The sequence below is a fragment of the Homo sapiens genome, chromosome 1 (genome assembly GCF_000001405.40).
Source record: "Homo sapiens chromosome 1, GRCh38.p14 Primary Assembly".
NCBI lineage: Eukaryota > Metazoa > Chordata > Mammalia > Primates > Hominidae > Homo > Homo sapiens.
Window position 1 is genome coordinate 161,285,464 of NC_000001.11, and position 26,394 is coordinate 161,311,857.

At 45.4% G+C, this 26,394-nt stretch overlaps 1 protein-coding gene and 2 long non-coding RNA genes across 5 annotated transcripts; 1 reads left to right on the forward strand and 2 right to left on the reverse strand.

Moving 5' to 3' along the window:
- Positions 1 to 3,314: 3,314 nt before the first annotated feature.
- Positions 3,315 to 5,869, reverse strand: LOC107985221 (uncharacterized). The gene is made up of 2 exons (XR_001738270.2): positions 5,225 to 5,869; positions 3,315 to 4,953 (listed from the first exon to the last, which is right to left on the reverse strand). It is a non-coding gene; the product is annotated as an uncharacterized LOC107985221 (long non-coding RNA).
- A 2,996-nt stretch (positions 5,870 to 8,865) lies between these two features.
- LOC124904442 (uncharacterized) lies at positions 8,866 to 10,887 on the forward strand. Its single transcript, XR_007066692.1, has 2 exons — positions 8,866 to 10,449; positions 10,602 to 10,887. It is a non-coding gene; the product is annotated as an uncharacterized LOC124904442 (long non-coding RNA).
- MPZ (myelin protein zero) lies at positions 18,137 to 24,505 on the reverse strand. 3 transcript variants are annotated; one of them, NM_000530.8, is made up of 6 exons: positions 24,376 to 24,505; positions 21,795 to 21,961; positions 21,245 to 21,458; positions 20,866 to 21,001; positions 20,645 to 20,705; positions 19,272 to 20,514 (listed from the first exon to the last, which is right to left on the reverse strand). In NM_000530.8, exons 1-6 carry the CDS (start codon positions 24,440 to 24,442, stop codon positions 20,413 to 20,415), a joined length of 747 nt encoding a protein of 248 aa, NP_000521.2. In that variant the 5' UTR covers positions 24,443 to 24,505; the 3' UTR covers positions 19,272 to 20,412. The 3 variants fall into 2 exon arrangements, with proteins under 3 accessions (XP_016856810.1, NP_000521.2, NP_001302420.1); XM_017001321.3 differs by lacking the exon at positions 19,272 to 20,514 and adding an exon at positions 18,137 to 18,878.

A 26,394-nucleotide genomic window follows, 5' to 3' on the forward strand; every position in this document is an offset into this window, starting at 1 on the left:
CTTGGGAGGAATGTGAGTATAAGCCTGAGCTGGCCTCAGGGAGTGGGGTGGAGAAGCAACTGCGTTGACTGCGTGGTAGCGCAAGAAACTAACACTGCCTGAGCAATTTTCAGACTGAAGCCAACCCTCCCTTTCCCCCACCCCTACTGACCTTGCCCTCACCTTGATTTGCCACCCACATTGTCTCTGTGTTGCTGTCACCACCCCCAGGGTGCACTTGCAAGAGTGCTCATTTTTCCTTTCTCCTTCCAGCTGAGAGCGTGCTGGGTACACATCCCTCTGAAAACAAACCTGGTCTTCCTTGCTCCGGATTCCCAAATGACCTATCCTAGATTTCCTTCTTGCTTTGTCTTCCTCCCACATTCTCCCCTCCCCTCCCTCTTGTTTATCAGATGCAAGGAAAGGAAAAGACTGGTCACTAGAGAGCACCACTGTTACATTAAAATTTTAATCCACTAATTACATAAAATTATGGCTTTCAAGTAGCTTAAATTGCTGAGAAATTACCTCTATATGCTAAAACCGGAAGCCAAATGTTTAAAGATGGAGCAAAGAATGATCTATTTTTTTTTTTTTTTGAGATGGAGTTTCGCTCTTGTTGCCCAGGCTGGAGTACAATGGTGCAGTCTGGGCTCACCGCAACCTCCGCCTCCCAGGTTCAAGCGATTCTCCTGCCTCACCCTCCCGAGTAGCTGGGACTACAGGCATGTGCCACCACGCCTGGCTAGTTTTCTATTTTTAGTAGAGATGGGGTTTCTCCATGTTGGTCAGGCTGGTCTCAAACTCCCAACCTCAGGCGATCTGCCTGCCTCGGCCTCCCAAAGTGCTGGGGTTACAGGTGTGAGCCACAGCACCCGGCCTTTTTTCCTTTTCAATTGTTTTTGTTCTGGTAAAATATACATAACAAAATTTTTCATCCTAACCATTTTTAAGTGTACAGTTTAATAGCATCAAATACATTCAATAATACTGTGTAACTATCATCGCTATCCATCTCTGTAACTCTTTCCATCTTGTAAAATTGAAACTCTACACCTATATCCTTTAGACAGTAATCCCCATCTCCCCTCTTCCCAGCCTCTGGCAACCACCATTCTACTTCCTATTTCTAAGTCCCCTTACTTCTTCATATTTACCCTTCCCTTCTTGATTTAAGAATACAGAAGTCAGGCCGGGCCCAGTGGCCCATGCCTGTAATCCCAGCACTTTGGGAGGCCAAGGTGTGTGGATGACCTGAGGTCAGGAGTTCAAGACCAGCCTGGCCAACATGGTAAAACCCTGTCTCTACTTAAAAAATATAAAATTAGCTGGGCATGATGGCAAATGCCTGTAATCCCAGCTACTTGGGAGGCTGAGGCAGGAGAATCGCTTGAACCCAGGAGGCAGAGGTTGCAGTGAGCAGAGATGGCACCACTACACTGCACTCCAGCCTGGGTGACAAGAGTGAAACTCTGTTTCAAAAAATATATATATATGTATATATATATGTATGTATATGTCAGCTGGAGGCCAAGTGCGGTGGCTCATGCCTGTAATCCCAGCCCTTTGGGAGGCCAAGATGGGTGGATCACCTGAGGTTGGGAGTTCAAGAACAGCCTGACCAACATAGAGAAACCTCATCTCTACTAAAAATACAAAATTAGCCTGGCGTGGTGGCACATCTTTTTAATCCCAGCTACTTGGGAGGCTGAGCAGAAGAATCACTTGAACCCAGGAGGCAGAGGTTGTGGAGCTGAGATCATGCCATTGCACTCCAGCCTTGGCAACCAGAGTGAAACTCCATCTCAAAAAAAAAAAAAGTCAGCTGGGCACGATGGTGCATGCCTATAATGCCAGCTACTTGGGAGGCTGAGGCAGGAGGATCGTTTGAGCCCAGGAGTTCAAGGCTGCCATGAGCTATGATCACACCACTGCACTCCAGCCTGGGTGACAGAGGGAGACCCTGTCTCTGAAAAAAAAACGTGTATGTGTGTGTAAACCATGTGGCAGCTATGAATGGGAAACAAGGAACAATATCCCTAGAAGGTAACCTATAGCTCAAAGTTTACTCATGCGTAGCAAGCCCGTTGCCATAGGATATGAGGAGAATTGACCAGTAATTCATTGGAAGGTCCTATGTTAAAGGAATTCCCCCCTTCTTCTGATGCCAGGGAAAAGGAGGAAATTTTACTGTTACTTTTGGAATCTGTTCTGAGTACAGTATGGTAATGATGGTGAACTTTGGTCCCAGCCTCATAGGCAAATAAAAGGATAACCTCATTGCCACACCTGCTGTGTGTCCAGTGTGTCTGATAAAGCTGGAGTATTCCCCCTTCCCTTGTTCCATGGACATAAGATGAGAATTGATGGGTGCTGTACCTGGTCTGCCCCTGTGGGTACTAGGGTAAGGCAGGGGCTTCCTCTTTTTGGTGAAGTGAACTTTTGTGGCTGGTGCTAAGGCAATGCTGGAGTCCTTTGCCACCAGCTCCTCTCTTGCAGACTCTGCTGCTTGGGGGTATCTGTTTATTTGTTTTTTGCCACACTGATCTGGAGCACAGTGCTGAAATGATTTTTCCCTTTACCATCTCTCGCTTTAAAAATGTTATGCTTGTTCTCATGCTCATACTCATATTTTTAATAAAGGGCATGGTAGCAAAAACATAGTCATTGCTTTGGGAAAGAGCTCTAACCAGAAAGAGAGACTTGGGCATCTTTTGCTGAACAAATGGTAGTTCTCAATGAAGGTTCTGAACACTGTTTTCTCTCTGCCATGCTACTTATTCCTATCATGGGCACTCAAACTGAGCCTCTTTTCTCTAGCATGCCTATAATTCCTCCTTGGGGCCCTGGGCTGAGGCTGGGATCTTGGGGCTCTAGAACCTTGCTTCACTTCCCTGTCCCTCTAGTACCTACTACTGAAGAACTAATCCTCAAATACTAATCACTGAGGAATTATTCTTGAGTGCTTTCTTTTGTGGAGCAAAAACTGAGTATTTGGGGAATGGGTGAATGCCTTTATAAATGGCTTAGCAGAAAATACAAGCATAAGAAACAGTCAAGGAAGAAAGTTAAAAAGAAGAAACTCATTTTTCTTATATTCAGCACTTCCGACACCAAATGTTTGAGTTTTCTCCTCCCATTAGGCAATTCTCCAACTGTGGACAGCAACTGGGTGTCCTGCAATCCAATTATGACACTACCAAGACTTCACACTAGTTGCAAGTCTCAGATTGTGACCTATACTTCTGGCAAACTGGTTGTACATCAGGGGTTCCCATGACCATGCCTCAGGTTCAGTAATTTTCTAGAATGGTTCATAGAACTCAGAAAACTGCTTTACTTACTGTTACTGATTTATTAGAAAGGATACAACTCAGGAACAAACAAATGCAAGAGATGCATAAAGCAAAGTATGGGGATAAGAGGTGCATGGGGCGTCCATGCCCTCTCTGGTGTGCCAACCTCTCAGCACCTCCATGTGTTCACCAACCTGAAAGCTCTCCGAATCTCAAGCCCCATTGTTTAGGGTTCTCATGGAGGCGTTATTATGTAGGCATGGTTGACTGAATCATTGACCATTGTTGATTGAGTCAGTCCCCTCTGCCTTTCCTGAAGGCCTGGTGGGGGTTGGGGGGGTGGGGGGCGGGCGCTGAAATTTCCAAACCTCTAATCACAAGGTTGGTTTCTCTGGCAACCAGGCTTTCATCCTCAGAGAGTTGGCTCATTAACATAAACACAGATAAGGTTGAAAGGGGCTTATTAAGCCGGGTGCGGTGGCTCACGCCTGTAATCCCAGCATTTTGGGAGGCCAAGGCAGGCTGATCACCTGAGGTTGGGAGTTCGAGACCAGCCTGACCAACACGGAGAAACCCCATCTCTACTAAAAATACAAAATTAGCCAGGCATGGTGGCGCATACCTGTAATCCCAGCTACTCGGGAGGCTGGGGCAGGAGAATTGCTTGAACCTGGGAGGTGGAGGTTGCGGTGAGCTGAGATAGCGCCATTGGACTCCAGCCTGGGCAACAAGAGTGAAACTCCATCTCAAAAAAAAAAAAAAAAGAAGAAGAAGAAAGGGGCTTATTACAAATAATAAAGATGCTCCCCTCCTAACACTCAGGATATTCTTTAATTTTTTTTAACTAAAAAATTTGTTTCTAGAGATAAGGTCTCACTATGTTACCCAGTCTTCAGTACAGTGGCTATTCACAGGTGCAATCCTCCCACCTCAGCCTCCTGAGAAACTGGGACTACAGGCATGTACCACTGCACCTGGCTCACTTAGGAAATTCTAAGGGTTTTAGGAGCTGTGTGCTGGAACCCACTGTGCCAAAACTGAAGGAGGAAAACCAAATATATATTTCTTATTATATCACAATATCACATCCATATCGCTGATATCTGTTTTGGTATTTTTTTCAACTGCGTAGGGGTGGCAGAGCTGGGATAATAGTCCCATCTATACGTGGGAGAGGTCTGGCAATCCAAGCAGGGGATATAGTTGTAATTATGTTCCTGAAGTCCAAATATGTACATCTTGGTGAAGTTTCAGGCAGCTAAAGGTAGAAGGATTCTGCTCCCTGGATGATCCTGCAATTCTAATTTCAGAGACTTAGTGTTGCTGCTGGGTAGGACCCTTGATGTCCCCTTGATCTTGCCCCAATCTAGAGTCAGCTCTTTCCACTTTCATCTCTTCCATCTCCTCCTCTTGCAACTAATCCCTGCCCTAATGTCCTTTTTGGGAGCTGCCCTCGGTGCCCACCTCTTTGCCATTCCCTCCACCCTCTTTCCCTTGCTGAGTTTCCCTTATTTTTGGAACTGTTTGCAGTGGGAGTGGCTTCTGGCAGCTTCCTTGTCCCTGCTGTGCTCGGTCCCTGAAAACTTGCCCTCACAGGAATCACTCTCCAGTGAGCTGCTGTCTTCCTTCATCATCTTCTCTGCAAATGTAGCTCCTCTGCTGTCTGTGCCTCTGAAAACTGAGGGTGGGGGTCAGGAGGTTTGCTTTTTTTTTTTTTTTTGAGACAGAGTCTGGCTCTGTCGCCCAGGCTGGAGTGCAGTGGTGTGATCTCAGCTCACTGCAAGCTCCGCCTCCCGGGTTCAAGCGATTCTCCTGCCTCAGCCTCCCAAGCAGCTGGGACTACAGGCACCCGCCACCAGGCCTGGCTAATATTTTGCATTTTTGTTGAGATGGGGTTTCACCGTGTTAGCCAGGATGGTCTCAATCTCCTGACCTCATGATCCGCCCACCTCGGCCTTCCAAAGTGCTGGGATTACAGGCATGAGCCACCGCGCCTGGCCTGAGGTTTGCTTTTTGTGTAAGATGGTGCCTTTCCTTCTGGTTGTTTAGGTGGCAGCTTTGACTCCAGATCTACAAAGGCAGAGATTCACAGTCCACAGATAATTAGAAAGTCAGCCTGTTCACTAGGGTGCAGGAAGAGCTTCCTCATTCCTTTGTTGGCTCTTTCTCTCCTGCAGTCATCGGGTTAGGGTGAACCCTTCCTCTCAGCATCATGCTTCAATCATCATCATCATCATCATCATCATCATGGTCATCATCATCATAGGCTTTCCTTACTCACCAATCCACATGAAGCAAAGGGAGCCACCCCCACTAGATCACTTGAGAGTATCCTTACCTGCACATAACTCTTTGTTGGCTCAGGTTACATGAGACTTAGGATCTTCAGTGATGCTCACCCCCAAGTTGGGGTGATTCCTCAGCCTTATGCTACCTACAGAATATGAATGGTGATGATAATAGTAATATCTAAGATTTGTAAGTAGTTGTGTGTCAGATCCCATTCTAAGCACGTTTACATATATTAACTCATTTAATTCTTGCTGCTTTATGACATAGATACTATTATTATCCCCATTTTATAAATGAAGAAACTGAGGCACATAAATATTAAATAACCTGCCCAAAACAAATAAATGTTTGAGCTAGGACCAGAACTCAGGCAGTCTGGCTCCAGAATCTGAGCCCTTTGTATTACCCTGATAAGGGGCTAGATAAGTGAAGGGCAATAGATTGGTTGTCAAGAATGTTGTCCAGCCTAGCTTATAGGGCAGAGCTTCCCTTAGCTGAGCTCAGGCATATCCACTTGGTCCCTCATAACCTAGACAGGTAAAATCTGTACCTTCTCTGGTCCCTCATCCTTCCAGGGAAGAACCAGTGAGTAGGTGTGGATATCCTGAAGCTAAGCTAAACTCTCCTCTTAACTCATGGGAAGGCCCTAGGCCTCATTTATTCTTCTAAATCAGTTCTCAACAACAGGGTGCACTGCCCTCTAGGGGATGTTTTGGGTATCTGTGGGGGGATTTTTTTTAGTTGTCACTGTGTGTGTGTGTGTGTGTGTGTGTGTGTGTGTGTGTGTGTGTGTGTGTTGGGGTGGGGGGTGAGGTGGTGATGGTGGTGGTGAAGGTTCCTGGTATTTAGGAGCCAAGGATGCTAGACAATACTGCAATGACCATTGTGTGTGTGTGTGTGTGTGTGTGTGTGTGTGTGTGTGTGTATTGGGGTGGGGGGTGGGGTGGTGATGGTGGTGGTGAAGGATCCTGGTATTTAGGAGCCAAGGATCCTAGACAATACTGCAATGACCAGGACAGTGCTGCACAAAAAAGAATTGTCCCACATCTCACATGACTTTTAAAAGCCCCATTGGAGGCCAGGCGCCATGGCTCACACCTGTAATCCCAGCACTTTGGTAGGCCGAGGCGGGCGGATCACCTGAGGTCAGGAGGTCGAGACCAGCCTGGCCAGCATAGTGAAACCCCATTTCTACTAAAAATACAAAAATTAGCTGGGCATGGTGGTGGGAGCATGTAATTCCAGCTACTCGGGAGGCTGAGGCAGGAGAATTGCTTGAACCTGGGAGGCGGAGGCTGCAGTGAGCTGAGATCGTGCCACTGCACTCCGGCCTGGGCGACAGAGCAAGACTTTGTCTTTAAAAAAATAAATAAATAAAAATCCAAAAATTAGTTGTCCATGCTTGCGTGCACCTGTAGTCCCAGATACTCGGGACGCTGACGCAGGAGAATCGCTTGAACCAGGGAGGCGGAGGTTGTAGTGAGCTGGGATCGCACCACTGCACTCCAGCCTGGGTGACAGAATGAGACTCCATCTAAAAAAAAAAAAGTCCCATTGGATATTAATTTAGGTAAATAAAGCCTGTTATAACCAGAAGGAGCCTGGAACACAACTCCATTTTACATATAAATGCAAAGTATTTTTGTCATTGTTTTAGACCCTGAATTTCCAAGAAATACAAGTAATGTGTAGATTGAAGGGACATCATAATTTTTGTTCAGAACTTTACCAAGAGTTGTTTGCCATTTCAGGAATCCATGTCATAAGACAATGCTATCTGTGGTATTTGAGTCTCTAATACCTACCTATCAGTTTGCATGTATTACTGTTGCATTCACAGCAGTTTTTTTTTGTTTGTTTTTGAGACTGTCTTGCTCTGCCTCCCAGGCTGGAGTGCAGTGGCAGCATCTCGGCTCACTACAGCCTCCATCTCCTGGGCTCAATTGATCCTCCCGCCTCAGCCTCACAAGTAGCTGGGACTACAGGCATGTGCCACCACACCCAGCTAGTTTTTGTATGTTTTGTAGAGAAGGGGGTATCGCCACATTGCCCAGGCTGGTCTTGAACTCCTGGGCTCAAGTGATCCGCCTAATAAAAATTAGCCGGGCATGGTGGTGCTTGCCTGTAGTCCCAGCTACTCGTGAGGCTGTGGCAGAAGGATCGCTAGAGCCCAGGAGACCAAGGTTGCAGTGAGCCAAGATCGTGCCACTGCACTCCAGCCTAGGCAACAGAGTAAAACCATGCCTCAAATCAATCAATCAATCAATCAATCAATCAGTCAATCAATCTGACTTAAAATTAGCCGGGCATGGTGGCGGGCGCCTGTAGTCCCAGCTACTCGGAGAGGCTGAGGCAGGAGAATGGCGTGAGCCCGGGAGGCGGAGCTTGCAGTGAGCCGAGATCGCGCCACTGCACTCCAGCCTGGGTGACAGAGCGAGACTCCGTCCCAAAAGAAAAAAAAAAAATCCTACATGACTCCAAAGCCACTTTTGAAGGAAAGAAGGTATTACTGAAGATGATTCTGAATCAGGTCTATTTATGGTAAATAAATTTTTTTCTTTAACACCATAATTTGACATTCAACATTTCCCTTGATTCTCTAACAGTTATATATTATTACTCCTATTTTATAGATTAAGAAGGATTCATAGAGAGAGACTAAATAATTTCCTTAAAACTTTAGGCCTTTCTGACTTCATAACTCATATTTTATTTTAAACCCCTAATACTCCTCTGATGGTCTCCTGCATTCAGAAATAAGTTGCGTAGCTGGGTGTGGTGGTTTATGCCTGTAATCTCAGCACTTTGGGAGGCCGTGGCTGGAAGATTGCACAAGGCCGTGAGTTTGAAACCAGCCTGGACAACATAGTGAGACCCTGTCTATACAAAAAATTAAAAATAAAAAATAATTTTAAAAAGGAAGAAATTAGGCTGGGCATGGTGGCTCATGTGTCCAATCCTAGCACTTTGGGAGGCCAAGGCTGGCAGATCACCTGAGGCCAGGAGACCAGTCTGACCTATATGGTGAAACCCTGTCTCCACTAAAAATACAAGAAAATTAGCCAGGCATGGTGGTGCACAACTGTAGTCCCAGCTACTCAGAAGGCTAAGAATCTCTTGAATCTGGGAGGTGGAGGTTGCAGTGAGCCGAGATGGGGTTTCTCCATGTTGGCCAGGCTGGTCTCAACCTCCTGACCTCAGGTGATCCGCCCGCCTTGGCCTCCTAAAGTGCTGGGATTACAAGTGTGAGCCACCGTGCCCAGCTGCAGCATTTTTTTTTTTCTGAAACAGGGTCTCACTCTGTTGCCTAGGCTAGAGTGCAGTGGTGAGATCTCAGCTCACTGCAACCTCTGCCTCCCAGGCTCAACTGATCCTCCAACCGCAGCCTCACGAGTAGCTGGGACTACGGGTGTGCAACACCACACCTGGCTAATTTTTGAATTTTTTGTAGAGATGAGGTTTTGCCATGTTGCCCAAGCTAGTCTCAAACTCCTGGGCTCAAGCCATCCACATGCTTTTGCCTCCCAAAGGGCTGGGATTACAGGCATAAGACACTGTGCCCAGCCACAAAGCAGCAATTTATCATTAAATGGAAATGGTTATATGTGATGGTTAATTTTAAGTGTCAACTTGACTGGGCCACAAGGTGCCCAGATACTTGGTTCAACATTATTCTGGGTGTGTCTGTGAGGGTGTTTCTGGATGAGACTAACATTAGAATCAGTAGTCTGAAGCAGATTATCCTCCCCATTATAGGTGAGCCTCATCCAATCTATTGAAGGTGTAAATAGAACAAAAGGCTGAATGAGAGAAAATTCATTCTCTCTGCCTGATGGTATTCAAACTGAGACATTGGTATTCTCCTGCCTTTGGACTTGAATTGGAACTTATGCCATTAACTTGCTGGTAGTCAGGCCTGCAGACTGCAGGTTTTGGAACTTCTCTGCAGATCTTGAGAATTCCCAGCCTCCAAAATCATGTGAGCTAATTTCTTATAATAAACATATATCTATATCTATATTGGTTATATTATAGATGAAGAAGAGATACATGAATGGAACACAGAATGGATACAGACTGTGAAAAAATTAATGTTCCAGGTGACTGTCCACCAAAAGCCTCTTTTCCTGGCACCCCCAGTGCTGCTCAGTTAGCCCTTGGACAAAGTGGCCATTTTGGCAGGCATGGAGCCTATGCATGAGCTCAACAACACAGAGTTTCCCTTACCAAGGCTGATCTAATTAATGCTACCACTGAGTGCCTAATATGTCAAGAGCAGAAACCAACATTGAGGCCCTGATACACACTATTCTCTGAGGGGACCACCTTCCCACTGGATGCTTAATGGCAGGTTAATTACACTGGCCTTCCTCCATCATGGAGGGGGCAGAGGGTTTTTTGTTTCGTTTTGTTTTTGAGGCAGGGTCTTGCTCTGTCACTCAGGTTGGAGTGCAGTGGCACAATCACACAATTACAGCTCACTGCAACCTCTGTCTCCTGGGCTGAAGCAATCCTCCCACCTCAGCCTCCCAAGTAGCTGAGATTACAGGCATGAACCACCACGCCCTGCCAAAAGATACATTCTGAATATGGATTTGCTTTCCTTATACACAATGCGTTTACCAGGACCACCATTTGTGGGCTTACAAAATGCCTTATCCATAGTCATGGCATTCCCCATAGCATTGTGTCTAATCAAGGAACTTATTTCACAGCAAAGGAAGTACAGTAATGAGCTCAATGTTCATGGAATTAAGTGATCTTACCACATTTCTCATCACCTGGAAGCAGATGCCTATTTGAAACATGGACTGACTTACTAAAGACTCACAGCAACACTTGGCAGACAATACCCTGAAACAATGGGGATCTATCTTACAAGGTACAGTATGTGTTTTGAATGAGAGGCCATTATATGGTGGTGTTTCCCCCACAGCCAGAATATATGGGTTCAGGAGTCAGCAAGTAGATGTGGGAATGGCTCTTCCACTGTTACACTAATAACCCACTCATTGAACTTTTGTTTCCCAGCAGCTTTGAGCTCTGCTGGTTTGGAGGACTTTGTCTCCAAAGGAAGATTGTGTCCACCAGTGAACACAGCAATGGTTTCATTGACTTGGAAGACAAGAATGCCACCTAGCCATTTGGGGCTTTATATGACACTGAACAAAAAAGCCAAACAAAAGGATTATAATAGTTCCCCCTATCCACTTATTTATGGCTTCACTTCTCAAAGTTTCAGTTTCCCACAGCCAACTGTGGTCTGAAAATATTAAATGGAAAATCACAGAAATAAACAATTCAAGAATTTTAAATTGCATACTGTTCTGAGTAGCGTGATGAAATCTTGTGCTGCCAGGGATGTAATTATCCTTTTTCCAGCATATCCATGCTGTATACATTACCTGCCCTTTAGTCATTTAGTATCTATCTCAGTTATCAAACCAACTGTCCAAGTGCTTGTGTTCAAGTAATCCTCATTTTACTCAATAATGGCCCCAAAATGCAAGAGTAGTGATGTTGGCATACTGTTATAATTGTTTTCTATTATTAGTAGTTATTTATGTTAATCTCTTACTGTGCCTAACTGGTAAATTAAACTTTATCATAGGCCAGATGCGGTGGCTCATGCCTGTAATCTCAGCACTTTGGGAGGCCGAGGTGGGCGGATCACCTGAGGTAAGGAGTTTGAGATCAGCCTGGGCAACATGGTGAAACCCTGTCTCTACCAAAAATACAAAAAATTAGCCAGGCGTGGTGGCGCACACCTGTAATCCCAGCTACTTGGGAGACTGAGGCAGGAGAATCGCTTAAACCAGGGAGGCGGAGGTTGCAGTGAGCCAAGATTGTGCCAATGCACTCCAGCCTGGGCAACAGAGCTAGACTCCATCTCAAAAAAACAAAAACAAAAAGAACAAAAAACTTTATCATAGATATATATGTATAGGAAAAAACATAGTATATATAGGGTTCAGTACCATCCCTGGTTTCAGGCATCCGGAAAGTTCTTGGAACGCATCCCCCACAGATAAAGGAGGGCTACTGTATTCCACTGGCTGGTGTGACTGATCCTGATTACATAGGGGAAATTGAATTGCTGCACAGTGGGGACAAGGAAAGCTATTTCCAGAACCCAGGGGATTCTCTGGGAGTGCCACTTAGTACTTCCCAGCCCAATAGTAAAGGTTAATGGACAAATACAGCAACCAAATACAGAAAAAAAAAAAAAAAAAAAGGGCAAGACAATTGAGAACTCAGACCTTGAGCGAGAAATGGAAGTTTGGGTCCCTGTACAGGTGAAGAACTCTGACCATCTGAAGTTCTGAGTGAGAATGGGGAAATACAGAATGAGAAGTAGAAGTGGAATATGTCTTTTGACCCAATTATGGAAATGAGGACTGGACTGCAGGAAGTTGGCCTATTTTCTATTTGCTTATTATAATAGATATGTGTTTATGTTAGCCATTTATTCACCTCTCTTCTTTTTATATTATTAGACAGTTTACTGGAAGTGAACTTTACAATATAGTCTACATCATAGAATATTTGGTGGGACTGTGACAGAATTAACATAATCAGGGATGAATACAATCACTGTTGGCCTATTTGAAGAACTGTGAAAAGCTCTGTGTGTGTAGTCTGCCCATGCCTTTCCTTCTTCAACCTTACTTCTACACATGAATATTTGTCCAACAATTTCTCAGATGTTTTAAGGCAGGGTAGCAAACTCATATGTTCATAGTGGTCAGGCAGGTAAGGAAATGAGAGAAGTGAGGATTTAGATCCCATCTAAAGGGGAAAAACAATATTCAGTTCAAAGTGATTGTTGCCTGATGACAATCAATTGTAGCATTATTTGAATAAACAAACATATAGGACAAACAACAGATGTTTTCCAAGTTGTTGCAATCTCTGATTTAAAGTTAATTTATTGGCCAGGCGCAGTGGTTCACGCCTGTAATCCCAGCACTTTGGGAGGCCGAGGCTGGCGGATCAGGAGGTCAGGAGTTCGAGACCAGCCTGGCCAACATGGCGAAACCCCGTCTCTACTAAAAATACAAAAATCAGCCTAGTGTGGTAGTGGGCGCCTGTAATCCCAGCTACTAAGGAGGCTGAGGCAGGAGAGTCGCTTGAACCCAGGAGGCAGAGGTTGCAGTAAGCCAAGATCGTGCCACTGCACTCCAGCCTGGGTGACAGGGCGAGACTCTGTCTCAAGAAAAAACAAAAAAAAAAAGAGAGAGAAAGTGTTAACAGAAAGAGGAAGTGGCTAGTAATGTTGAATACTTCTGAGAGGATGAGAAAGACAAGAGTGACCACTGAATCTGCAAAATAAGCATCATTAATGCCCTTTGAAACAAGCAGTTTTAGTGGAGTGATGAGGATAGAGACATGATTGAAGTGGGTTGAAGAGAGAATGGGAGGTATTAAATATAGTATCCTAGACTTGTTCAAGGAGTTTTGCTATACAGGGAAGCGGAGAAACGGGGCAGTATCTGGAGGTAGGAATTTCGGAGATATTAAGAAATGTATAGAGGCCGGGTGCAGTGGCTTACGCCTGTAATCCCAGCACTTTGGGAGGCCGAGGCTGGTGGATCATGAGGTCAAGAGATCGAGACCATCCTGGCCAACATGGTTAAACCCTGTCTCTACTAAAAATACAAAAAAATTAGCTGGGCGTGGTGGCGCGCGCCTGTAATCCCAGCTACTCAGGAGGCTGAGGCAGGAGAATCGCTTGAACCTGGGAGGTGGAGGTTGCAGTGAGCCGAGATCTCACCATGGCACTCCAGCCTGGCGACAGAGTGAGACTCCATCTGCCCCACCCCCCCAAAAAAAAAATGTGTAGAAAGACATTTCATATGTCTTGTGTTTTATCCATCATCACCAGTTGTCTTTTGTCTTTGTTTATAATGTATTTTGCCATTAAAGAGGTTGAACTAGGTTGGGCATGGTGGCTCATGCCTGTAATCCCAGCATTTTGGGAGGCCGAGGTGGGAGGATCACTTGAGGTCACGAGTTTGAGACCAGCCTGCCCAACATGACGAAACCCCATCTGTACTAAAAATACAAAAATTAGCCGGGCATGGTGATGGACACCTATAATCCCAGCAACATGGGAGGCTGAGGCAGGAGAATCACTTGAACCCAGGAGGTGAAGGTTGCAGTGAGCCAAGATTGTGCCACTGCACTCCAGCCTGGGTGACACAGCGAGACACCATCTCAAAAAAAAAAGAGAGAGATTGAGTTTCTTTTTTTTTTTTTTAATGTAGTCAACTTTATTCTCCTTAAACCACAAAATAGAGTCTTTGGTTGTACAAACATCACTAGTTACAGTCTCGACCAGGTCTCTGCTGGGGTGGGGCAGTTAGTCAGAGGCCAGAACTCCTGCAGGGTCTCTTTAAAATGCTAACACTCAGGTTAAAAGACTCGGGGCAAGGGTGGTGCTGGAGCTGGCAGAGCCCCCACCTCAAGTCTGGGGGACCTGCCTGCTCCTCTAGGAGGGCACAGGGCCCAGGCCACAGGGCCCAGGCCACAGCGCCCAGGCCTTACGAGGCGGCGGCTGCTACACAGCGCCACATCTTCAGGGCCCACAGCCCCGGGAGATTGAACTTTTTATCACTTTCTTTTATGATTTCCGGATTTCCTGTCTTGCCTAAAGACCTTCCCCATTTGGAGATTAAACAAATATTTTTATTTCCTTCTAATATTTGTCTTTTTAAAATTTTTATTTTATTTTTGTATAGGATGTGAGGGAAAAAACTTTTTACTTTGATTTCTTCCAGGCGTATAAGTCAACTGTGCCAATGCCAATATATTTTATTAAATAATCAATTCATTTACCACTGAACTGAGTGGTAAATGAATTTTTGAGACAGGATCTTGCTCTATCACCCCGGCTGAAGTACAGTGATGCGATTTTGGCTCGCTGCAACCTCCACCTCCTGGGCTCAAGCGAGCCTCCCGCCTCAGCTTCCGGAGTAGTTGGGACTACAGGCACGCACCATCATGACTGGCTAATTTTTTTTTTTTTTTTTTGAGATGGACTCTCACTGTGTCACCCAGGCTGGAGTACAGTGGTAAGATTTTGGCTCACTGCAAGCTCCACCTCCCGCGTTCACGCCAGTCTCCTGCCTCAGCCTCCCAAGTAGCTGGGACTACAGGCGCCCGCCACCACGCCCAGCTATTTCTTTTTGTATTTTTTAGTAGAGAAGGGGTTTCACCGTGTTAGCCAGGATGGTCTCAATCTCCTGACCTTGTGATCCGCCCGCCTTGGCCTCCCAAAGTGCTGGGATTACAGGGGTAAGCCACCGCGCCCAGCCACGACTGGCTAATTTTTGTATTTTTTGTAGAGATGGCAGTTTCACCATGTTGCCCAGGCTGGTCTCGAACTCCTGGACTCAAGCAATCCGCCTGCCTTGGCCTCCCAAAGTGCTGGGATTACAGGCGAGAGCCAATGTGCCCAGCTGACAAAGGTTTTTAAAGGCAAAATGAGGAGGCTCACATAATTGTTTTGAAATATTAATAATTATCCTTTGCTACAATAATCAATAAAGACAATGCCAGTTGGAGGTTTGACAGACAGTTGTTGGGCAGATGTCCTTGTAGATGTAATTTTTGTGTAAGGTCGTGAACAGCATTTGTGCAAGGTTGCAGTTTTTGCATTTTTTTTGTTTGTTTAATTTCAACGTTTATTTTAGATTCAGGGGGTACATGAACAGGTTTGTTACATTGGTATACTGTGTGATGCTGAGGTTTGGGGTACAAATTATGCCGTCACTAGGTAGTGAGCATAGCACCCAATGAGTACTTTTTCAGCCCGTCCCTCCTCTTTCTTTCCCCTCAAATAGGCCCCAGTGTCTATTGTTCCTATTGTCATGTCCATATATACCCGATGCTTAGCTCTCACTTATAAGTGAGAACATGCAAAGATAAAGAAAAAATTTGGCTGCAATATAGTAGGCAAAATTCATTTGCAAGGAGATCAGAAAGCCATTTGATTATAGCCTAATCCAAATAGATTTATCATTTAGTTTAATAATTTAACGAGGGGGAAGGGAATATTTCAAAAACGTTTAATGTTTATTTCTCATAGAATTAAAAAAAAAATTTATTTATGGCCGGGCGCGGTGGCTCACGCCTGTAATGCCAGCACTTTGGGAGGCCAAGGCAGATGGATTACCTGAGGCTAGGGGTTCGAGACTAGCCTGGCCAACATAGTGAAACCCCGTCTCTACTAAAAATACAAAAATTAGCTAGGCATAGTGGGCGCCTGTAATGCCAGATACTCGGGGGGCTAAGGCAGGAGAATTGCCTGAACCCGGGAGGCAGAGGTTGCAGTGAGCTGAGATCACGTCATCACACTTCAGCCTGGGCAATAAGACCAAAACTCAGTCTCAAAAAAAAAAAAATTATTTCCATAGGTTTTTGGGGTACAGGTGGTGTTTGGTTACATGAGTAAGTTCTTTAGTGGTGATTTGTGAGATTTTGGTGCACCCATCACCTGAGCAGTATACACTGAACCTAATTTGTAGTTTTTTTTATCCCTCACCACCCCCACCCACCCTTTCCCCTAAGTCCCCATTTTGCATTCTTTTGTCATAGCTTTTGTTATCAAGTATTTATGCATGAGAACCTGTTTCTTCATAGCCCTCCCTGGTTCTGTTTGTCAGGGTTTTCTTTTGTTTTGTTTTTGTCTTTTTGTTTGTTTTGGGGTTTTTTTTTTTTTTTTGAGACGGAGTCTCGCTCTGTTGCCCAGGCTAGAGTGCAGTGGCATGACCTCAGCTTACTGCAGCCTCCGCCTCCCAGGTTCAAGCGATTCCCCTGCTTCAGCCCCCTGAGTAGCTGGGATTACAGGTGAGCACCACTATGTCTGGCTAATGTTTTGTATTTTTAGTAGAATGGAGTTTCACCATGTTGGCCAGGCTGGTCTTGAACTCCTGACCTCAAGTGATCCACCCACCTCAGCTCCCAAAGTGCTGGGATTACAGGCGTGAGCCACTGCGCTTGGCCCTGTTTTTCTTTTTTAACACGAGTGTCTCCATCTTGATTCTGACAACTTTCACATATTGTTACTTAATAAATCTTATAATTTTTTTCATACAGGTTATGTACCTTTCTTGTTAATTTCTGTTTCTGTTCTTTTTACTGTCATCAGTGGGCTTCCCTATTATTTTCATTTCTAGCTAGATTTCTAGTTATAGACTGAAATTAATTTATTTTATAATCACACTACCAGATTGACTTCTTAGTTCAATACATGTCTAGTTGCATCTTATGGATTTCCTAGAAACACAATCATATTATCTGCAAATAAAGATAAGTTTCTCATCTATGTATACAGATTGTTCCTTGTTTTTGGTTAATTACACTAGCTAAATTCTTCAAATATAATACTGAATATTTTTAGCGATAATGTAAGTACTGTCTTTTGTTTTAATGACAATGGCTGCAATATTTCATATTTAATATGCTTTTTAAATGATTTTTGAAAAATAGTGTCCATTATGGTTATTTCTATTACTATTTTACTTAGAATGTTTTGTAGGAATAGCTACTAAAAAACAATTGCTTTTTTTTTTTTACATCTCCTCTTGATAGAATTACGTTTTTTCCCTGATGATATAACACATCCTGTTAGTAAATTTCCTGATACTGAACTATTCTTTCATTCCCAGAGTAAATTCTTCATGGTCATAATTTATTATTTTATTAACTCATTGTGGAATTCTCTTTTGCAAATATTTTATTTAGACTCTTTGTCTGCGTATTCATAAATTGGGTTATAATCTTTTTCTTTTTATGGTTAACACTGAAAAAGGCTTTAAATTATTCTCAAAGTGCTCACATGCCTGGGCAAAATTATTGCTATTATTAACAACGCACTGAGGATTGTGAACGATTTATTTCAAAGTAATAATTAGATGGGATTCAAAGTTTCCCATATAACAATGTCATTTCCCTTTATCTGAATCATTATTCTAGACTTTATTTAATGCTTTACTGCAGAGGAAAGAAAGGGGGGATGTGGCTTACTTTGTTGGGGATTGTGGAAAATGGGCACAGTCCTGGAAAAACCCACATTAAGTGTGCAATGCTTGTGAAAATGCCTAATGCAAGAGATTGCAAAATGTTGTCCCAGGGTACCAGGATTCTTGATGGAATAAGAAATATTAAAATAATTGGATAAACTGAGCTAGCAAAATGCAGGTGGCTGATAAATTTTAGAACAAAAGTGTAATTAAATGAGAAGCTTTGAGCTATACTCTATCTCATAAGTAGCATAATATTTCATTTGACTCTCTCTCTCTCTCTTTCTTTTTTATTTTTATGAGACATAGTCTCGCTGTGTTGCCCAGGCTAGAGTGCAGCGGCATGATCTCGGCTCACTGCAACCTCCGCCTCCGCGGTTCAAGCAATTCTCGTGCCCCAGCTGCCCAAGTAGCCAGGGTTAGAAGGCGTTCACCACCATGCTCGGCTAATTTTTGTATTTTTAGTGGAGACAGTGTTTAGCCATGTTGGTCAGGCTGGCCTCAACCTCCTAGCCTGAAGTGATCTGCCCACCTCGGCCTCCCAAAGTGCTGGCATTACAGGCATGAGCCACCACATCCAACCTCATTTGACTCTCCTGACAGTCTGGGAAGTTTAAGCAGGGAACCCAGCTGCAACTATCTAATGAATAATGGACAGTTTAGCATCTTAACTAATAAGGAATCTTGGGCTTAAGATATTCCCAACTTTATTACTGGGTTGTGACTAAGTTTCCTCTCCCACTTCCCCCCAACAAAAGGCTATATATACTCTATTAGCTTTTATATTTAAATGAAGGCAGATTGATTTTTTTTAAAAGACATTGAAGACACCCCTCAAACAAATGGAAGCACTCTGGGTTTTGGTAAAGCTGGTGTTAATCATATCTTTAGCTTCTTAACAAGGGGAAGAAATTACTTGTGGGCACTTTGGGTTTTTTTGTGCCATCAGTAATCCCCAGGGGAAAATGATACGTATATGTTTTTCCACAATCAGTTCAGGATACCAGGATATTAATGGTATACCTAAATCAACATACCAACAAACTAGCTAATGAGGTATTAATAGTATACCTATTAATAGGTAAACAGAAGTAAAATCATGTACCAACAAAACAAAGCAGTGATTGTTTAGAGAGGTGAATGGGATTTGTGCTAATTTGTAAAGTGTACTACCTTAGGCAAGCACTAGAAACAAATATTGAACACCTTAATATTTAGTTGTATATCAACTTACAGTTTACAAAGTTTTCCATACACAGGATCTCATTTGATTATTATAAAATCCCTAGGAATTAAGCAGGGCAGATATCATTATCTCAGTTGTTTACAAGTACATAAACAAGCTTACCAAAGTCAGGTAACTGTCCTGGGGATCACACAGCTAGAGAGTGGCTGGGATGTTTTAAAATTCAGATCTTGGTGAAGACAGATTCTGCGTTTTAACTCATGTAAAAGCAGAGACTGGCAGAGTTTACAACGTAGTATAATCTCACTGATTATTTGCTGAAGGTATGAATGTGTCTTGTGAGGCTATTTCAGAGTTCTTTCTAGTATACTATATAAGCCCACCCCAAAAAAACAAACTAAACAACTGAAGCCAAGTATGGAAGGTTGGGGATGGGATAAGGGGCAGGAATTATTCCCAGGAGGACTAGGAAATTCTAGACAAGGCAGCAGCTTCTGGAAATGTCAGTGTTTATTAAACATTTAAGGACATTTGGAGGTTTGAGAAGAAATATACAGAATGTAGAAAAATCCTAAGAATCCCCTGTGGCTGCAGTGCAGCCTCTTCCTCCCCCCCGCCCCCCCATTTCCCATTTGTTTTTCCTGCTTTTTGTTTGGTTGTTTAAAAACCATTTCTTAAGGCTCATTTGCCCCCTCCCCCACTCCCTGACCTATGAGGATCCATTCTCTCTCTCTGTCTCTCTCCTCAAGACCTGGAGTCCCAGAACAGTGCTCCAAAGTGGTCAGGGGGAACCAATGCTATACTGAAGTGTGAGGATCAGGGGCCCCTCTACTTGGGCTGGCTCTTCATTAAGGACTTAAGGGGGGCGTGAATTGCAAAAGCCACATGACGTCATTGGTCCTCAGTCATGGGTGTAAGGGCAGAGGATGAGCACAGGTAAACAAACAAAGAATGGATTAAAAAATAAAAAATAATAACCTAAATAAACCCTGAAGGAGAGTCTGATCTGGGTGCTCTGGGTATTAGCTGGGGGGACAGAGTATGGAGCTGGGCCACCTGGTAGAGGGGAGGGAGGGACGGGAGAGGAAACAGCCAGGGGGACAGGCTGGGGGATGCAGGAGATGGGAATGCCAGGTGGCCTGGACTTGAGGCAGAGGGTATCAAAGTCCCTTTCTTCTCAGTGCTCAGGTGGACAGGCACCAAACACACAGCCCCCGGGGCAGGTGAGGGGTAGGATTAGCTCCTGGGCTCCCAGAAAGCCAGGGGTGAAGGTGGGGGAGAATACAATTGCCTGGGGAATGAATTCTGGAATGAAACTTACATCTCAAAGGGAGGTGAGGGCAGGGCAGGGCGGGGGAGCAAAGAGGGAAAGCACCTAGACGGGGGTAAGAGGAGCCTAGGTCCCCCTGCTCTGGCAGGGCCTGGGGTGGGGGGGTGGCGATCACTTGTCCGAGTTCAGGCCCATCATGTTCTTGAGGGCGTTTTTGAGGCTGGTTCTGCTGGGGGACTTGACAGCAGGCCGGAGCTCCGGGCTCTGCTCATCCTTTCGTAGCTCCATCTCGATGACCATCACCTTTGGGCCTTTGGCGGACTCCACCCCTAACCCCCGATCCCCCGCCCGGCCCGCTAACCGCTATTTCTTATCCTTGCGAGACTCCCCCAGCCCCTTGGCCTTCTTCTCACTGACAGCTTTGGTGCTTCTGCTGTGGTCCAGCATTGCATACAGCACTGGCGTCTGGGGGAGGGGCGCACACATCAGTCACCGAGCGACTGGGGCTTGACTGTTCCCATCCCACCCCTCACTGCTGCCCGGCGGCTCCCAGGGTTCTCCTTCCCATCTTGTCTAGGCCCCAAGTCCCGCTAACCTGCCGCCCGCGCTTCGACGCGTCCTTTCCTGGCTTGTGCAATTTCCCCTTCTCCATAGCACTGCAAGAAGAGAGACTGCTGTACGTTTGGCCTCGCCGGAACCCCTTGCACCGCGGACACAGCTTCCTCTTCCCCTTGGCCCTCCCACCCACTGGAGTAGTCTCCGCCCAGATGGGGGATAGTGGGGAGAGGGGGAGGGGAGCTAGGCTCCGCCCCTTACCTGAGCCTCCTCTGCAGGGCCGCCTGCCTGCGTAGCCAGCAGTACCGAACCACGTAGAAAAGCAGCAGCAGCAACAGCACCACCCCGAGGACACCCCCGATCACAGCTCCCAGAACGACCCCGTACCTAGTTGGCACTAGGAGGGGTGGGAAAAGAAGTGGGAGAATGAGCAGGGCCCTGTATCTGTGGTTCCTAGTCCGAGTGTATGCCCTGCATTGAGGATGTAGGACTCCCAGCTAAAACTGCCTTCTGCCCACGCTCCCAGAGCCTGAATAAAGGTCCTTAGGCCGGGCTTTTTGCCTCTTCCCCCAACCTATCAGTCCTCCCTGATCCCCTCCCAAACTGCTTCCCATACCCTTGTCCCCATCCCTTCTCACACCTTTTTCAAAGACATACAGCGTGACCTGAGAGGTCTTGCCCACTATGTCTGGAGGGTTTTTGACGTCACAAGTGAACGTGCCATTGTCACTGTAGTCTAGGTTGTGTATGACAATGGAGCCATCCTTCCAGCGAGGGTCCCCTACCCACTGGATGCGCTCTTTGAAGGTCCCCACCTCGTCAATGTAGGGTTGTCCCTTGGCATAGTGGAAGATCTATGAGGAATGAGGGGAAGCATGTGAGAGGACCCTAATGAGAACACAGCTGTCAAAGCTTAGCTCCATAATTTGTTACAGAAAGAAAAAAGCAAAAAAAAAAAAAAAAAAAAAAAAGCTTCGCTCCAGCCTCAGGGTAAGGGATCTTGGGCTGGAAAGGGTAGTGCTGGAGAAGGGAGGACAATGTAGTCAGGGTGACAAAGACTGTCATTTACCTTGCCAAAGTTGGGGTTATGGCTCAAAAAGGATTTCCCCCTCCTTAGCCCAAGTTATCTTTTTTGTTGTTCTTTGAAGCACTTTCTGTTATCCAACCCCAGGATTCCCCCAGGCACTCACCGAAATGGCATCTCTGCCCCCTTCGGGCTGGTAGCGCCAGGTGAAGGAGATGTCATCTGAGACCCACTCACTGGACCAGAAGGAGCAGTGCAGGGTCACCCGGGAGCCCACAGCACCATGGACCTCCCTGTCGGTGTAAACCACGATGGCCTGGGCCGGGGACAGCACTGCAAGCACAAAGTGGGGAATCAGATGCACCTATGGGCCCAGTAAGGGATACAGAGGAAGTGAGATCAGTAGGAAATCAAGTGCTGAGTCACAGGTCAGAGGCCAATTTGGAAAAGAAACAACAAATTCTGAGCCCCAAGTCTCTGGGGACTAACTGAACAGATGAGCATAAATGCTGTGTCTGTCAAGCTCTTTAGCATGTCTGTAGAGAAGATGAAATCAGCAGTAACAGAATTCTCTTGAGGACTTCCAGAGATTGGGTTCTGTCTTTAAGTCTCACTTCTCCTTTGGGTCAGTATCTAACTTTTAAGCTATCCTTTAGATGCAGTGTTCTAAATTTTTAAAATTTATTATAAATTATACAGGTAATACATATTGTACTCTTCTTATAAACTATTCAAGCAATAGAAATAAAACAAAAGTCTCCTTTGACACTTAGCCCAACAAATTCCTTTCCTGTATTCCCTTCCAAGATGTAACAAGTTATCCATTTAATATGAATCAAACTCAGTATAAACTCAATAAACTCAAGATATACACATACTTACAACAAATAGTTTTGTGGAGTTTTTTTTTCCACATACATATTGCATTGTATTCTAGTGTCTTTTTGCTTAAGAACTTACGTATCTGGAGGAGCTTTCCCTGTTGATTCATAGATATCAATCTTATTTTAACAGCTGCATTGGATTTCACAATACAGCAAACTCAGATTTCTTGCAGAAAAAAATGAAGATAACTAGAAAATATAAGTCTTCTTCCCTGGCACAACTGTCCTCATTGCTGAATCCCTGGTTGCCATACAGCTTGCTCTTGACTGGAGAGTCAGGAAGGGAAGGGCCTCATACCCCTCTCAGCTGGGTGCAGAGCAACACCCCAAGCCTACAGCTCAGATGACCCTACATGTGAGCCCTCTATGGTTCAACTGTCCTCACCTTCCTCTTGGCCACTGTGGCCCAGTGCCATCCCCAAGACTTACCCACACAAGGAAGGTCATTCCAGAGAGACTATGTGTGTGGGCTGGCCCCAGGGAGGGGCAACTGTAGACCTTTTTGTTCTACAGGAGGGGGAGGTGGCAACCAAACAAAGTTCCATTGTCTGACCAACGCTGGGGGGCTCATGCCACCCCTACTCCCACCCCAACTGTCCTGAATCTCTCACCTCAGCATGCAATACCATGTACTTACCTTCTGGAACTTCCACCTTAGAACCTTCTTGGGAATCCCCCTTGTTTAACAAGGGAGATAATTCACTGGCTCTAACTTCTATTCCTCCTGTTACAATATCAACCATTGCCCTTCTCAGCTGTGCTCAATGGTTCTATGAGTGGAACAAGTGTTGAGACACAACTCTCCCTCTTCCTTATACATCAAGATTCCTTCCCCCTATTTCCCTCACTATGCCCTTCTCCAACTCTCTATCTTTAACATTTTCTCAGGGTACCCCCAAATAGCCCAGTACAACCCAGAAGAGTCTAGGGCTCAAGCAGCTGACAGCAGAGAACCCTGGGCATTCTGGCCAGCCCCCTTTCCCTTGATGTCCTCCCCACCACCCCCACTTGCCTATGGCTCACTCATTGCACTAGGATTCAGGGCAGTTCAGAGAAGGGAAGGGGCCATTCCAATAATCCTGCTTTGACCTCTTACTCACCCAACATCTGCCAGGGGGCAAGGAAAGGGCTGGTCAGCTTATGAAGGAAGACAGCTTTAGAGGGATAAGATCCCAGAATCTCATAGAACCTCACTCCATTCACCCACACAACAGGTGAGGAGCCATAGAGAGACAAAAAATCTGAGGAGCTGAGACCACAAACCTGGGCTCCTTACTTAGATCGCACTCTCTTTTTCCTTCTGGGAAACTAAGGTTAAGGCACCTCCTGCACTGCTAGGGGACGAGTGGGAACCAAACCCAGGTGTTTGAGCCTATTTCTTTATGTAATCTAACACTGCTTCCCACCAGGCTGTTAGCATGGCTCTGGGGGCATGCTACTATTTCCAACCTGGGTCCAGCCATGGCCACCACTCAGGGAAGCTTGCTACACTCTCTTTTACCCTTTCTTTTAAAATAAAACCTCTACTTCCTCCCTCTAAATGCATATTTTTTTCTTTTCATATATATATATATATATTTTTTTTTTTTTTGAATTTTACAGATGGAGTCTGGTTATGTTGTCCAGGCTGGTCTCCAACTCCTGGGGCTCAAATAATTATCCCACCTTGGCCTCCCAAAGTGCTGGGATTACAGGCATGAGCCACCATGCCCAGCCGCATATTTTTTCTTTCTGAATATAATGTCACCTTCCTGCTCCTGCTTGTTCTTTCTTTGGTTGCAGTGGGGAGTGCAGCAAAGGCTGTGGGGATTGCTGAGAGACACCTGAGTCCCAAGACTCCCAGAGTAGAGTGGCTCCACTTACCCAAAGAAGAGAAGAGCAGCACAGCCAGGATAGGGCTGGGGCTGGATGAGGGAGCCCCAGGAGCCATAGCTGGGGCAGGGGCAGGGGCCCGGAGCATCTGTGGGGTTGAGAAAGTGGGGGACCAGGAACTGAACGGGGGGTTCCTGGAACCTGCTTAAAATCCCCTAGGGCCCCAGCATGAGGGGGCTGTCCTCAGCCAGTAACCAATTGCAGCCTGGCATGTGCAGTTGAGAGGTGGTGGGGAGGGGGGCAGAGTGCAGGGAGCAGAAGGGGCATTGTATAGTCTGGGTGGAGGGGTGGGGGGACACATACCACCCCATACACAGAGGGCTTTGTGTCCACTGGCCTCCCCCTGCCCCAGGCTGGAATGTTGTGGGGGGTGGTGAGGGAGAGGGACAAAAACAGGGACACAGACACACTTCTCTGAGGGATAGATATGGAACCTCAATTTAAAGGCCATAAAAAGGGATTTCTCCTCAGCCTCCTTGCCTGAGAGAGGCTGCCTCACAGCCCTAGGAACTAGAGGGAGGTTTCCCCCAGAGAACTCTGAAAATAGGATATCCCCTGTTATCTCCTCTAATGTGGGCTGCATTACAGACTTCTTGAGATGACCAAGTCCTATGGGAGTTTTTTTCCCCGCACCTCCCTTCATCCTGTGCGATTCTTCCCAGACAGAAGTTTTTCTCCACTGGACTATTTCCAGGCAAGAAGCCCCTGACCTTTCCGTTTGTCAAGAAGTCCTTCAGTGCTTCATGCTGCTGTTTAAGTCCATTTCAATTTATTTCAAGGCTACAAAATTGTATTAAGTGCCAGCAATATGTAAAGTATGAGAATGCAGGTAATAGAGAGAGGAATAAAAATTAAGTCCTTCCAGCAAGGAGTTGAAAATTTGGTTTGGGGAGGTGGAGATGGGAAGATCAGAGGACAAACCCATCAACAATCAAGTATAATAAGCCATGACACTTCCTTTAGTAATGAACAAAATGCTGGGAGTACAAAAGAGGGGCACACACAGCTGCAATATCAGGAAGACTAAGTTATATGAGAGATTAAAGACAAAATAAACTTTAATAAATGAAGTTTATGCCAGGCATAGTGGCTGACACCTGTAATCTCAGCACTTTGGTAGGCTTATGCAGGAGGATTGCTTGAGTTTAGGAGTTTGAGACCTGTCTGGGCAACATAGCAAGACCTCGCCTCTACCAAAATTTTTTAAAAAATCAGCTGGGCATGTTATCACATGCTTGTAGTCCCAGCTACTTGGGAGGCTGAGGCAGGAAGATCGCTTGAACCTGGGAAATCAAGGCTGCAGCGAGCTATGATTGTGCCACTGCTTTCCACCCTGGGCTACAGAATGAAACTCTGTCTCAAAAATAAATAAATAAATAAATAATCAAACAAATAAATAGTTCAGAGGGAAGAATAGTTGTGTCTAGGAGGCAATGTTAGATATGAATCAGCCTTGAAGGATGACTGTCATTTTGGAAAGGGAGATAGGGAGGGTTACCAGAAGATAGAACAGCAAAAGCAAGGACAAAGAGGTGAGACGGAGAGACAGAATGTGTGTGTGTGTGTGTGTGTGTGTGTGTGTGTGTGTGTGTGTGTGTGTGTGTATGTATATGAGATGTAGGTTTCTGAAGTGTTGGATATATTCAGGGCCGATCTTGTGCCATCCACTTTGACTTGATTTGGGGAAACTTGAAGTGGCATAGTCAGAAATGAGACTGGACAGGAAAGTCGAAACCAGTTTGTGAAAGGCCTTAAATGACAGGTGAAAGAAGGTGAATTCAATTTGGTACATCATGAGAACCTGAAGGTGTTGGGGTGGAGTTAGCCATGGGGATGTCTACATAACCAGAGCTGAGGTTTTTTTGTTTGTTGAGGCAGTCTCGCTCTGTTGCCCAGGCTGGAATGCAGTGGCATGATCATGGCTCACTGCAGCCTTGACCTCTGAGGCTCAAGCAATTGTCCTACCTCAGCTTTCCAAGTAGCTGGGAACTACAGGCGCATGCCAGCATG

Coding starts and splice junctions, on each gene's coding strand:
- MPZ (NM_000530.8), bottom strand. CDS start 24,442: ATGGCTCCTGGGGCTCCCTCATCCAGCCCCAGCCCTATCCTGGCTGTG. Junction 20,706..20,865: donor GCCCTGCAGAGGAGGCTCAG/GTAAGGGGCGGA, acceptor CTCTTCTTGCAG/TGCTATGGAGAAGGGGAAAT. Junction 20,515..20,644: donor CGTCGAAGCGCGGGCGGCAG/GTTAGCGGGACT, acceptor CCCCTCCCCCAG/ACGCCAGTGCTGTATGCAAT.